General features: G+C 38.3%; 1 protein-coding gene across 4 annotated transcripts in view; it reads right to left on the bottom strand.

The window, feature by feature from the left end:
* The window catches only part of NELL1 (neural EGFL like 1), a 906,136-nt gene that overhangs the window by 23,938 nt on the left and 868,027 nt on the right, over window positions 1-14,171 (bottom strand). The gene's annotated exons all lie outside the window — the stretch shown is intronic.

Genomic DNA, 14,171 nt, shown 5'->3' with positions numbered 1-14,171 from the left:
TCTAGATCCCTGAGGAATCACCACACTGACTTCCACAATGGTTGAACTGGTTTACAGTCCCACCAACAGTGTAAAAGTGTTCCTATTTCTCCACATCCTTTCCAGCACCTGTTGTTTGCTGACTTTTTAATGATTGCCATTCTAACTGGTGTGAGATGGTATCTCATTGCGGTTTTGATTTGCATTTCTCTGATGGCCAGTGATGGTGAGCATTTTTTCATGTGTTTTTTGGCTGCATAAATGTCTTCTTTTGAGAAGTGTCTGTTCATGTCCTTACAGCCAATATCATACTGAATGGGCAAAAACTGGAAGCATTCCCTTTGAAAACTGGCACAAGACAGGGATGCCTTCTCTCACCATTCCTATTCAACATAGTGTTGGAAATTCTGGCCAAGGCAATTAGGCAGGAGAATGAAATAAAGGGTATTCAATTAGGAAAAGAGGAAGTCAAATTGTCCCTGTTTGCAGATGACATGATTGTATATGTAGAAAACCCTATGGTCTCAGTCCAAAATCTCCTTAAGCTGATAAGCAACTTCAGCAAAGTCTCAGGATACAAAATCAATGTGCAAAAATCACAAGCATTCTTATACACCAATAACAGACAAACAGAGAGCCAAATCATGAGTGAACTCCCATTCACAATTGCTTCAAAGAGAATAAAATACCTAGGAATCCAACTTACAAGGGATGTGAAGGACCTGTTCAAGGAGAACTACAAACCACTGCTCCATGAAATAAAAGAGGATAAAACCAAATGGAAGAACATTCCATGCTCATGGGTAGGAAGAATCAACATCGTGAAAATGGCCATACTGCCCAAGGTAATTTATAGATTCAATGCCATCCCCATCAAGCTACCAATGACTTTCTTCACAGAATTGGAAAAAACTACTTTAAAGTTCATATGGAACCAAAAAAGAGCCTGCATTGCCAAGACAATCCTAAGCCAAAAGAACAAAGCTGGAGGCATCACGCTACCTGACTTCAAACTACACTACAAGGCTACAGTAACCAAAACAGCATGGTACTGGTACCAAAACAGACATATAGATCAATGGAACAGAACAGAGCCCTCAGAAATAATGCCTCATATCTACAACTATCTGATCTTTGACAAACCTAAGAAAAACAAGCAATGGGGAAAGGATTCCCTATTTAATAAATGGTGCTGGGAAAACTGGCTAGCCATATGTAGAAAGCTGAAACTGGATCCCTTCCTTACACCTTATACAAAAATGAATTCAAGATGGATTAAAGACTTAAACATTAGACCTAAAAGCATAAAAACCCTAGAAGAAAACCTAGGTATTACCATTCAGGACATAGGCACGGGCAAGGACTTCAGGTCTAAAACACCAAAAGCAATGGCAACAAAAGCCAAAATTGACAAACGGGACCTAATTAAAATAAAGAGCTTCTGCACAGCAAAAGAAACTACCATCAGAGTGAACAGGCAACCTACAAAATGGGAGAAAATTTTTGCAACCTACTCATCTGACAAAGGGCTAATATCCAGAATCTACAATGAACTCAAACACTAACATTTTTTCTAATGACTCAAGGTCACATCACTAGGATGGGAATTCCAAACCCCAAAAGTTTCTGCCTGGAAAAGGTAAAGGCTGCCAAAATAATTTACTGTTTATTTCAGCCAACACTTGAAAATAGGACCCCTCTCCTAGTCTCTGTGGAGGAGTTGAGTCTAACTTCCCTAAGTGCCACTTAACAAATTCAGATGGGCTTCATGGGAAAAACCTACCCTTTCAGCTTTTTGTAAATTCCACTTTCCTGACTCATGTTGAAGCCCCTGCCTCACTCTTTTTCCACTCTTTTATTCACCCTCTAAAACACCCAGTCATTTCTGCACAAATTGAAGTTCATTTCTGTTTACATTGGGCCCTCTTCCCTATTGCAATAATTTATTAGGGATTAAAATCTGTTCTTAACACTTTAGTGTCCACCTTTGGCAATCTTTCATATTACGTTTTTAAAATCTTTAATACTGCTGGTATCTTTAATGCCACTCAGGGTGCCAGATTACAAATAAAAAGATTCTGGCAGTTCATCCCTGGTTGAGCCCAGCTTATTAGGATAAATTACAGATGGGGGCCAATGTACTCATTAATAAGAAAAATGACTGCACTGAGAGTCTCTTTATAAATTCACTTTTCAGCAAATGTTGATTTGCTGTGTCAGACACCGTTCTAGGAATTGGGAATATGACAGCAAGTAAAACAGACACAATTCGTTCTCTTGGAAGGTTAAGACAATAGGAGGAAACAAACAACAGAATCATGTATCTTTCATGTATCTTCCTCAAGAACCTGCAGATGGTTTGCTATCCTGGCCACCCTAGGTACTTTTATTGAGTTATGATTGATTAACACATTTTGATATAACAGAGATTTATCTTTTTGTTATGCATAATAACAATACCTTAGTAAACTCTTATACATTATACTCTTTAGAATTTTCAAAACCATTTCAAACTCATGATCTAATTTGTCCTTGCAAAATACTCAGAATGTTTGTATCAACATCATTGCCACTTAACCAAACTGAGAGTCACTTAAATGATCACTGCTTCTCAAACATTTCTACCAAAGTTATCTCCATGGCAAAAAGAGTGAACACTCACTTGGAATCTTGGATATTCATAAACCCTGTTATGTATTAGTATAGAATATATTTGAAGTTTTATATTTCTATTTTAAAAATTATTTTTGTCTTCTAGTTAATAATATAGTCAGGATTGTTTATATAGAAATCATATTTTCCTGAAACCATGGAGTACAGTAAAATTCCTTTCCTGCTTTTGTGTTATCTTGTATGCAGCAGCATGCTTTCAGCAATGCTAGGACCCCAGTGTAAGAGGTATAGAAAGAGTAACAAAGGGTCAAGTAACTTGCCCTGGGCCAGCCACACAACTAGAATTCTTTTGTCAGGACACAAATGCAGGCATCCTAACTTAAAGCCAGGCTTGTCCCACCTCATAACCAATGGTTGACTCCCAATTCTGTAGAATACAAACACAGTAACCTTATGCAAAGACTAGATGGTAAATCTCTGATATGGTTTGGCTCTGGGTCCCTACCCAAATCTCGTCTTGTAGCTCCCATAATTCCCACATGTTGTGGGAGATAAATGAATCATGGAGATGGTTTCCCCCAGACTGTTCTCATGGTAGTGAATAGGTCTCACAAGAACTGATGGTTTTATAAGGGGTTTCCGCTTTCACTTCTCTCTCATTCTCTCTCTCACCTATTGAGAAGTAAGATGTGCCTTCTGCCTTCCACCGTGATTTTGAGGCCTCCCCAGCCATGTGGAACTGTGAGTTCTCCATTAAACCTCTGTCTTTTGGAATTGCCCCAGTCTTGGGTATGTCTTTATCAGCAGTGTGAAAACAAACTAATACAATCTCCAACATGACAACCTATACATTGATTCTCCAAATATTAATGATACTTAATATTTATAAAAGGCAATGATAAAATGATTAAATCATGCCTCTATCTAAAAACCATTACAATTTATTGGAGTAGATAGACTCTTTGCCATTTACCCCATAATGCCACTTATTCACTCCTCTGCATTTCCACTACCTGGACCATTTATTACAATGGCACCATACTGTTTGCTCTGCCATGGTCTCTTCCTCAAAGAGAAGCTAAATGAATAGTTTGATAATGCTACTCTCATTATCTTGAGGATTTTTTTTTAGCAGGAAAATGATCCAGTTTCAGTTGCGCCATGATTGTATATTTAGGAATCGGTAGAAACTTGTATTTGAATCCAACTCTTACTTACATGTGTCCCCAAACAGTTTTAGGCAGTCATTTTCACAATTTCTCAGCTGAGAAATTGCTACTCACTACGTGGCAATGAGAAAATTCAGACCTCACTGTTCTTCAGTTTGTCTATCTATAAAGCAGGAAGTCATACCAAACTTGAAGGTTCATTATGAGAATTTTAGGACAAATTTAACACATAGTAGTTGCTTGATAATGATTATGTTCAATAGCTGGCTAATTCTGAGGGCCTCACTTTTTCAGAAGAAAGTCATTTGAAGCAAAAGGAACAGCAGAAACAGGTGCAGAAAATCACATTGATAGACTTATGATAGAGTATCTGAAATTTTATGGGAAGTACTACTACATTTGCGTAATTATGTGTCATATTAAAAATTGTGACTTCTTTACAAATGATCACATTTTCACAACAATATTATATAACACTGATATTATGAAACAAAATTCAAAACTTGCAACTCCTCAGCTTAGAACACACTACCCTTCACAATCTGGTCTCCACCTCTATTGAAAGGCTGTGGTCTAATTATTCCTCACCTAAGTCAAACCCATATAGGGTTTGTGGATGAAGCACGTGCTTCATCTACACTGGAAATCTCACCATCCTTGGAACGCAATTAGATTCCTTTCATGACCACATCTATAATCAGGCTGCTGTCACGTCCTGGAACAGATCCTTTAATGAGTAGTTCGCCTGGAAAAAATCCTTCTCATTCAATAGACCTGGTGCAAATATATTTTCTGTGAAAGATTACCATATACATTGCCATCCCCAAATATCCCCACTCCATGAGAAGTTAGTTGCTTTTTTCTTAGAGTCTTTTATGTTTTACTGATTTATAATGTAGCTGGTCCACAATACAACCTCCCCAAATCCTTGTCCACTTCCACTGTCCCCACTCCAGACTGGAAAGACTGTGTCATATTCCTCTCTGTATGCCTAAGACTTAGTACAGGAACTAACACTGACCAGACCCTCTCAATGAATGTTCCTTTAACAAATGACTAGTGATTTTATGCTGACACTGCTTTAATTGGTCTGAATACTATAGTTTAATATTCCCTGCTCATAAACCCACAGGTAAATATTTCACAGCAGCTTGAGTAATCTCAGGGTAAGAACAAAAAACTATTCAATATTCATTTCAAAGAAATTGTAGATAATTGTATTAGTCCATTTTCATGCCACTAATAAAGAAATACCTGAAACTGCGTAATTTACAAAGAAAAGAGGTTTAATTGACTCACAGTTCCACATGGCTGGGGAGGCCTCACCATCATGATGAAGGCAAAGGAAGAGCAAAGGCACCTCTTACATGGCGGCAGGCAATAGAGTGTGTGCAGGGGAACTGCCCTTTATAAAACCGTCAGATCTTGTGAGACTGATTCTATATTATGAGAGTAGCAGGGAAAACCCTCCCCCATGATTCAGTTACCTCCCACTGGTTCCCTCCCATGACACATGGGGATTATTGAAGCTACAATTCAAAATGAGATTTGGGTGGGGACATGGCCAAACCATATCAATGATGATCTCTGAATTGCTGTTTAGACATGATCTTTGGCTCTAACACATTCAAGCCAGGAGTTTCTGTAATGAAACAATTGCTCACACTGAGCCTCAAAAAGGCAGGAAGCTGAAACTACATGGAATTCAATATCAAGGAGTGCTCAGAAACTGACAAAGGAAAGCAGTGAATCTCCCCTGAGACTGAATTATAAATCTTCAGGAAGAAAATACTTATAAGTTAAATCAGAGTCAGAGTGGTAACTGGAAACATTGAGGCCGGATCCTGGTATTTCAACAGTGGTTCTCACATTGTTAGTGGCCAAGATCCCAGGAAAAACTATGGTTCCATTTCCTCCAGAAGATGTAGGCACAGATGTATACACAAGCTTGCATACAGTTTCAGAGTGTTCTGAGGGCTTTCAGTGAAAACCCCAAGGCAGTATTTTCAAAATTCAGTGAGCTTCAGAATCAACCAATGAGAGCTCTCATTAAAACACAGATCACTAGGCCCTTACCCACAGAGCTGCTGATTCAGAAGGTCTAGAGAGTGTGGTACAGAATTTGCATTTCTAACAAGTTCCCAGGCGACTCCCATGATGCTGGTCTGAGGATCATACTTCTAAAATTACTGCCTGAAGCTACAAGGGGCACTGAGTTCACAGGAAGTAATAGGATCTGAGGAAAACCTATTTTTCAGAAATGCCCCCTCTCATTCTGTTTTCACTCAGTTGAGACTGCCAGCTATTCAGGAAGAAAGAAAAAAGACATTTAAAACTTATGAAGAACAATTTGCTTATCAACTTCAAGGTCTTGTTCAGAAAACTAAAAAGCTTCTCCTGTTGCTTGTTTTCCAAAAAATGTCAGGTTCACAGTGAGGAAAGGACCCTAAAACCATAACCACACTACAAAGCACCTTTTTAGGGGAACGTATTAATCTTTTCCTTGTGTATTACCCAACTCTTACTCTTCAAGTTCCAGCTCTCCAATAAAGTCTCAAAGTCCCCAACCCATGTCTTCCTTTCTCAGCACTCCCACCAGGCCAATTCACAGAATACAAAATTGTCATCCAGCACTTGTGAAATCCTGCTTCACAATCCTTTTTTATCCCCAAAGGCTTCTGGGACTTTGAGGTCCTGTCGTCTGAGACATCACATAACCAACTCTTTAGTTTATCAGAGTGGAAAGGAGAGCAACCTCGTAAATGTCATTTTAAAAAATAGAGATTAGCTTGACAATGTGGAAAGAAGACAAAATATCTGTGTAAAAAAGAAATATGTTTGTCAAAAACATTATGACTGGGAACATTTAACTTAGGGACCAACCAGCTATACCTCAATAAACCACTAGAACGTCACTCAATAATCAACAGTTGTTTTGAGTAATTCACATTTTTAGTGACCACATTTTAAAAAAGTAATACACAAATAGACATATATTGGAAGGATATCCTTACACCAAAGTTAAGATAGTAGAAACATTCTGATAGTTATAGAGCAAGTAGTGTATGCAATCATTTTTTGCCACAGAACGGAAAAAAAAAACCTCATCTGAAACAGCTCATTATTCAATGATACTGAGCAAATAAGGTTTTCTATAAATTCCTAGAATAGGAATTTATATTCATTCTCAAGTTTTCAATTAGTGTGTTTTATAATAATAGAAACCAAATCCATAAGATGCCCAGGAGAGGAAAGGGTTATATGACCAAATACATTTAGAACATTCATAATATAAAGTACAGGCTCTTTGTCCATTAAATAGAGATCATAAATATTTCTACCTGGTGGAGTTGTTTTGAGGATAAAGTGAGTAAAGAAATGTCAAGCTCTTAGAAGAGCACCTAGAACATGAAGTAATTAATCTTAGATATTAATATTTACTTTTATTATTATACCTATAAAATACCTAAACCCTTCCATCCTTCAGGTCGAATCAGCCCCAAGAATTCTGTTATGACTGTTCTTTGATATTCTCTAATCACTTTCTTCCCTAATTACCTATATATTTTATAGCATTGACCCCATATTTTAAAGTATAACCTATATCAGAAGGCTGTTGGTTGTTTTATGTAAGCTGATTATTTTTGTCTTCAACATGGAATTTAAAAGTCCCTATGGTATAAATTTTCTGCATCCTACCTACCACCTAGCTTAGTGCTAAAACCACTGTAGGATATTTTTAAGGATATAATACTTATAATAACATCCCAATACTTGTGAAGGTTTTTGTAAGTTTTCTAATTTTTCTCCTTATCATTACTGCCCATGTGAACTTCACCTGAACTAGAATTGCAATTCCCCTGGCTCCCCATATGCCTGTATTGCTTCATGTCATGGTCCAAAGTTGTAGTTTTTTTCTTTTTCTTTATGACTAGTCATAGTTGCCATTAGGAAGATATTCAAAAGACTGAGAATGAAAAGATAATAGACAGGTTCATAATGGCTTACAGGACAGACCCTACTGCTCATCTGAGGTTCTGTTAGACTAACTCCCAGAAATGTTTAGAAACTCCTAGAAAGTACACATAGAAAACAACTTATAGGCTTGCTCTGTCAGCCCAGCTAGGCTGTGGGTAATGAATGAACCTTGGGTTCATGCCCGAGTCTAGTGTAATGCACTCTATTTTGATGTTACTTTGTGAAGTGATTATCATCGAAACGGAGGAGGTGCGCTTGTCTTCCCAGAGAAGTCTCTAAAATGTATCCAATTTAGCCCACATGCTAAATAGCTTCAGGCTTATCTATGTATGGCAGGACTAGAAAAGGAGCAGGCAAGCTTCCAGAGGGTCTGATGAGATTCATTTCTCACCTGATTTATCATCTGCCACTGTGTGTCCACTGTAAGGTCCTTTCTGGGGGACCCAGAAGAGCTTTCTTTTCTATTAGATGTTGCAAAATGTTCTTAACCTCTCCATTCTGCACCCTGATAATACTGATCTTTTTCCATATCCATTCCATACTGAGGTGGTGTCTGGGTCTTGGTCTCTCTGTCCATCTGAAACTTTTAATGACATGTGGCAATTTTGTGTCATGCAACTGAGGCCCTCTGATTCCCAAAATCATGCTTGCATTTACTTCATATTGATTCCTTACAGTTCCATGGTTAAGTGGCATCTGCCTTAAGCAAGGCTCTTCAATAATACAGAATTTAGTACTTTGATAAAACTGTGTGTAAAGCTCTTTGGAAACAACAATTTTGAAGTAATGAGACCACACTAAATATTATCAAAGAAAGGTGGCATGCTATTTAACCAAAAAATATCTTATGTGTAGGGTGGGTCTTATTGTTTAGCATAGAGAGAAAATCCATGAGTGTTCTGGGATTAGTGTCTCTGCCTTGTCTCTTAAACTTTCTTAGTCTGAAATACCCTGGTCCACTAAGGTGCTTTTCCACCCTGACATGTCTCTTCCCTGGAATAGAAAAAACAGCACACTTGAGACTTTACTTCTTGACGATTATGAATGAAACCTCCTTTTAAATTAGAATAATTTATATACTCATGTTTCCCATTTTGCTCTGACTGCCAGGATATTTATGAACATCTTTGATAACTATCATTGGTTAATATAATTTCTTTATTTTTCAAATATTTGTATTTTAAATAACTCTTGAACATGTGATCTTTGTATATACTATTCTAATTGCTTTTAAGAGGCAGTGCATAATAAATAAGTACATTTAAAAAATTGGTTTAAAAATCTGCCGATCATTTTCTCATTCTCTTTATCACCCACCCTTTCTTTCCTTTTTCTTCTCTGGATTTACATCACCAGAAATGCAAAGAAGGTAATGACATCAGTGGATATCCCAGTAGTAGTATTATCAAGGCTGAGGTGCTTTCACATTAACTGTCAAAAACATGTCGCGTAGTTATCCTGCCCATCGCTCAGAAGGATGGCCCCAGAACACATCCCTTGAGTCCAGTGAATAAAATAAGTCCCTAGTGCTCATCACACAGAGATAATATTGTAACTGTCCATCTGGGTCTCATCTGTTTTCTCTCATGCTCCCTTTTTTTGTATTTTCAATCTCCAACTGCTCTGGCTAACATCTCCTCTACCTATGAGCCCATCACTGTTCTCCTCCCTTCCAGAAAGCAGTGCAGTGTGAACATATTAAGAACAGAAGCTTTGGGATCAAACACACCTGGATTATGGCTTCTGTGTGCCATTTATCAGCTGCGGAATTTGGGACAAGTTCTCTTCGTCCTCGAGCTCACATTTTCTTCACCTTTACAATGGGGATAGTAAGAGGGCTTTCCTCCTATGGTCATTGTGAAATTAAATTAGAAAATACATGAAATTTCCTGGTTCTGTGTCTAGCACATCATGTAGTTGTTCGGTTAATGAAAATAACATCTATTGCCTGCTTAAAACCTAAGTGCTGAATGCTTCTTTCCCTTGTTTGCTCACTTAATTGTCACGATTACTCCACAGCAACCCGTATGAGGTTGATGCTTTTGTAAATTGCTGAGAGCAGTGTCTGGCACAAAGTAAAACTCTCAATAAATGTTATCTCTTATTAGTATTACTGTTATTGTTTTCATGTGACAGGTGAGGGAACTGAGGTGAAGGGAGGTTAAATGTTGACTATCATATAATACTTGTCAGGAAATTTGCATATAAAAACACATATTAGAAAAAGTTCCATTGTAAGTATTATCTTAATGCACACTAAGAAAACTAAGGCTTTGAAAGGTTAAATATCTTTCTAAATGCTGCTCAGCTAGAAAGAGGCCGATTTCGGACTGAATCTAGGCTTAATGTCCTTAAAACCCCTCTCCATTACATCACAGTATTGCCTGCAAAGGCTTCATAGCTCCCCTCCCCTTCAGTGAGGTTTGTCACTGAGAGCATTTTTACAGATAGAGCACCTCCAGGTTCTACCCCTTTTTATCGCCACTCCTATGAAAAACAGGCACTGAGCAGAAGCAGTCAAAGCAAAATCATTCTTAGGCCATTTCAATTATTCCTGACACATCCACCAGATAAAATGGAAATTTCTTTCCCAAGGGATTTCAGCGGAACATTTTTGGTTGTTTCATATTGCTTTGCATGGTGACCATGGTTTCAGCAGTACTCTGAGAAGTAAATCCTCACTGTGCCATTTACAGTGGCCTGAGAGCAGGCTCCAGAGTCTAGGAAACTGCTTCACCCAACTAAGTGCTATAAAGCAGATAACAATGGAAGGCCAACAGGTATTCAGTCCCGTAAGAATAGCTGTATGTCATCTTGGAGTGTGTCTCCAGCAACAACATGGGCTTTCTTGTGAATGAAACATTTTATATGATAGGTAAAAATAACACAACCAATACAATTTAATTCAACATTAATTGATAAAAATCTATCAAAAAACACCTAAATTGTACTGTAGGTGATAAAGACGTAATTAAGAACACAAGTCTAATCTGCTAAAGTCTATAAAAGAATGGCAAATAAACGGCTATGAAGACAAATAAGAGGGGAGAAATTTTTATTCTTATTATTAGAAGAACTGAATGTCAGTAGTTCTCTACATTGGCCAAATTGTCTCTCTAATAATCACTTGTAGTCTTTTTTTAAATGACTTCATGAAATAAGCCAGTGATATGGTTTGGATTTGTGTCTCCACCCAAAGCTCATGTCAAATTGTAATCTCCAGTGTTGGAGGAGGGGCCTGGTAGGATGTGATTCAATCATGGGAGTAGATGTTCCCCTGGCTGTTCTCATGATGGTGAGTGGGTTCTCATGAGATCTGGTTGTTGAAAAGTACATAGTACCTCCCCCCTTCACTCTCTTCCTCCAGCTCCAGCCATGTAGGACATGTCTGGTTCCCCTTTACCTTCCCCCATGATTGTAAGTTTCCTGAGGCCTCCCCAGCCATGCTTCCTGTACAGCCTGTAGAACCATGAACCAGTTAAATCTCTTTTCTTTATAAATTACCCAGTCTCAGGAAGTTCCTTATAGTAGTGCGAGAACAGACTAATACAGCCAGGCACCGAAAGGTAAATATTTCATGTTCTCACTCATGTGTAGGAGCTAAAAAAATTGATTTGATGGAGGTAGGGAAAATGATCAATACCAGCGACTGGGAAGGGTGTGCAGGTTGGGGAATGAGTGTTAAAGAGAGGTTGGTCAATGGGTTCAAACATACAGTTAGATAGAAGGAGTAAGTTACAATGTTTGAGAGCAGAGTAGGGTGATTATAATTAACAACAATGTACTATATATTTCAAAATAGCTGGAAAACAGGACTCGTATTTTTCCCAACACATAGAAATGATAAATACTCAAGGTGATAGACACCTCAAATACCCTGACTTGATCATTACACATTCTGTGGTTGTAACAAAATATCACATATACCCCATAAATATGCAAAAATATTATGAATTTATAAAAAATACACTTAAACAAATTTTAGAAAATGGTGTCAATCTAGGTCCCACACCAGACCAACTGAATATGAATCTTCAGGATGTGTGATGTCCCGTCACAGGCATTTTTAAAAAGCTACTGATATGGACAGGAGACAGGGAAATACTGGGTAGAAGAGGGCAGCTCCCTGGCAAAGGGAGCCCTAAATGGGCTAAATGGCCCTAAATGGCCCTAAATGGGAACAGGCATTCCTGTTTTCGCAACCAAAAGTTGCCTTTTGGCCCACCACACCCTATCGGTATCCTGTACCCAGGATTCTGTACACCCTATGGGCTATCTATGGGTATCCTGTACCCATAGAAACCCCAAACCCCAGGCTCCACAAGCAGATGAGCAGACGAACAGAAGAGCAGCAGAGGAGAGAAGAGAAGGAGCATCTGAATGTCTAGAGGAGTTTGGCTGGGGACACTCAGAGAGGAGTGTCTGGCTGCTGGACAGTCAAACTCCAGGGGAAGATCGTCTTCCCAGTCCATCCCCTTTCCAGCTCCGCATCCATCCCACTGAGAGCCACCTCCACCACTCAATAAAATCCCACATTCACCATCCTTCAAGTCCGTGTGTAATATGATTTTTCCTGGACACCAGACAAGAGCTTGAGATACAGAAAGCCGTCACACTGGCCCTCTGTCCTTGTGAAAAGGCAGAGGGTACAATGAGCCATTTACTGCCTGTACACAGCAAAGCTAACAGAACATAGTGTAACACACACCCACTTGGGCTTTAGGAGTTTCAGGCACCCATCCCTAGATATTATTGTGGGGCCAGAGCCCAAAAGTGCTTGCCCCAGCTCCTGCACATCTGTATACTCTCCCTCCCATAAGGAGTTTGGGAGCACATGGCAGGTGATCAGACAAGCCACATCTTTGTCACAAGTCCTACTAAGGGGGTCAGGGAACTCTGCCGTTTCACTACTCCAGTGAATCTACCATGACACAGTTTTGAGAATCCCTGCTTTACAGAGTAAGACTTCATCAGGATTTTAACTAATGGAAATGGGGCTATGGGGATAGTCAGGGAAAAGCACACAAGCAAAGGAGTAGAGGAAAGAGAATGCAGGATTTAGGAAGAGCAGAATAAGAATTTGAGTAGTCTCCAGTATCCATGCAAAGTATATGAGAGAACAAAGGAAAATAAAGTTTCATTTGTGGGAGCAATATTGTGGAAACTGATTGACATTCCGAGGAGTCTGAATCTTATTTTTAAAATATGCAAAGTACTGCTGCTTATACATGCCATTGTTAATTATATATTAGTTCTTCTCATTTCTAAATGACCCAGATAACTATGCCTAGACAAAAAAGCAATTGCTCACAACTTCTATATTAAAACTGAGAATCACTGACTCCTACCACTGCATCAAAACACAGAGTGCATTGTACCCTACAGTGCCAACAAATCACTGTCATTATCATCTTCTGCAAATATTAATTTACAAATTTTTGTGTACTATTTTCTCCTGGCATTATAAAGATATACAAGTTAAAGAGAGACAGACAAAGAGAGAGACAGAGAGAGAGACAGAAGAGACTAACTCTGATAAGCTCTTCAAGAATAGTGACTCTATCTGCCTCTGCAATACTAGGACTGGCCATTTCTTCAATCATATGTTACACTTTAAGAGAAAAAGGCAAATCTTAAACATTTCTTCTCATAAAATAAGAAATCTTGCAAGCATGCTGTTCTTTATGATATCAATATTATTCAAGCTTACAATAATGGATAAAATCAGTAGTGAAGGTGCTATTATCCTCATCTGACAAAAAGTGACATAGAGTGACATGAGACTATTCTTCTAAAAGCCTAAACTGATACATTTTAGATGATAACATATGCCATTGTCTGAAGAAAAAAACATAGCTGAGTATATGCTACAAACCACTTTTAAAAAAAATTGTAAGGGTTATTTTAGATGCTGATATTTCTTTTAAATGTAAGCATTAGTGGTTGATATTATTTAGGGTTTATTCAGATGTGCTCATTTTCAGTGCTATTAAGCTATGTTATTAAGATCCAGAGTACGTCAGGTCATTAATCCTTCAAGAACTGACATCTTAACTTGTTCATAACCATATTCCCAGAAGACTCAAGGCAGTGCTGGTATGATGGTTGTTCTCAATAAACATTTTTTTAAATAAAAGACTCATGGTTTTGTGATATTTAACATCTCATGTCATGCACCACAATCTACACCACACAACTAGTTATATCAAACAAAATAGAAAATAAATCTGATTTGATACAGTTTTGAACATCCATGCCTTCAATCATTTGACATACATGCATTGAATGCCTTCTCTTTGACTATATTATCTTAGGGGCTGCGAGTACAGTAGTAAAAGGCAAACAAGGTCTCTGCCCTCAAACAACTTGTTTGAGGCAAGAGAATATTACACACATGTGCATGTGAATACAAATGCTAAAAAGATATAAAAG

Source organism: Homo sapiens, chromosome 11, assembly GCF_000001405.40.
Source record: "Homo sapiens chromosome 11, GRCh38.p14 Primary Assembly".
Taxonomy (NCBI): Eukaryota; Metazoa; Chordata; class Mammalia; order Primates; family Hominidae; genus Homo; species Homo sapiens.
The sequence above is the reverse complement of the archived record's forward strand: the minus strand, read 5'-3'. Positions and strand labels throughout refer to the sequence as shown.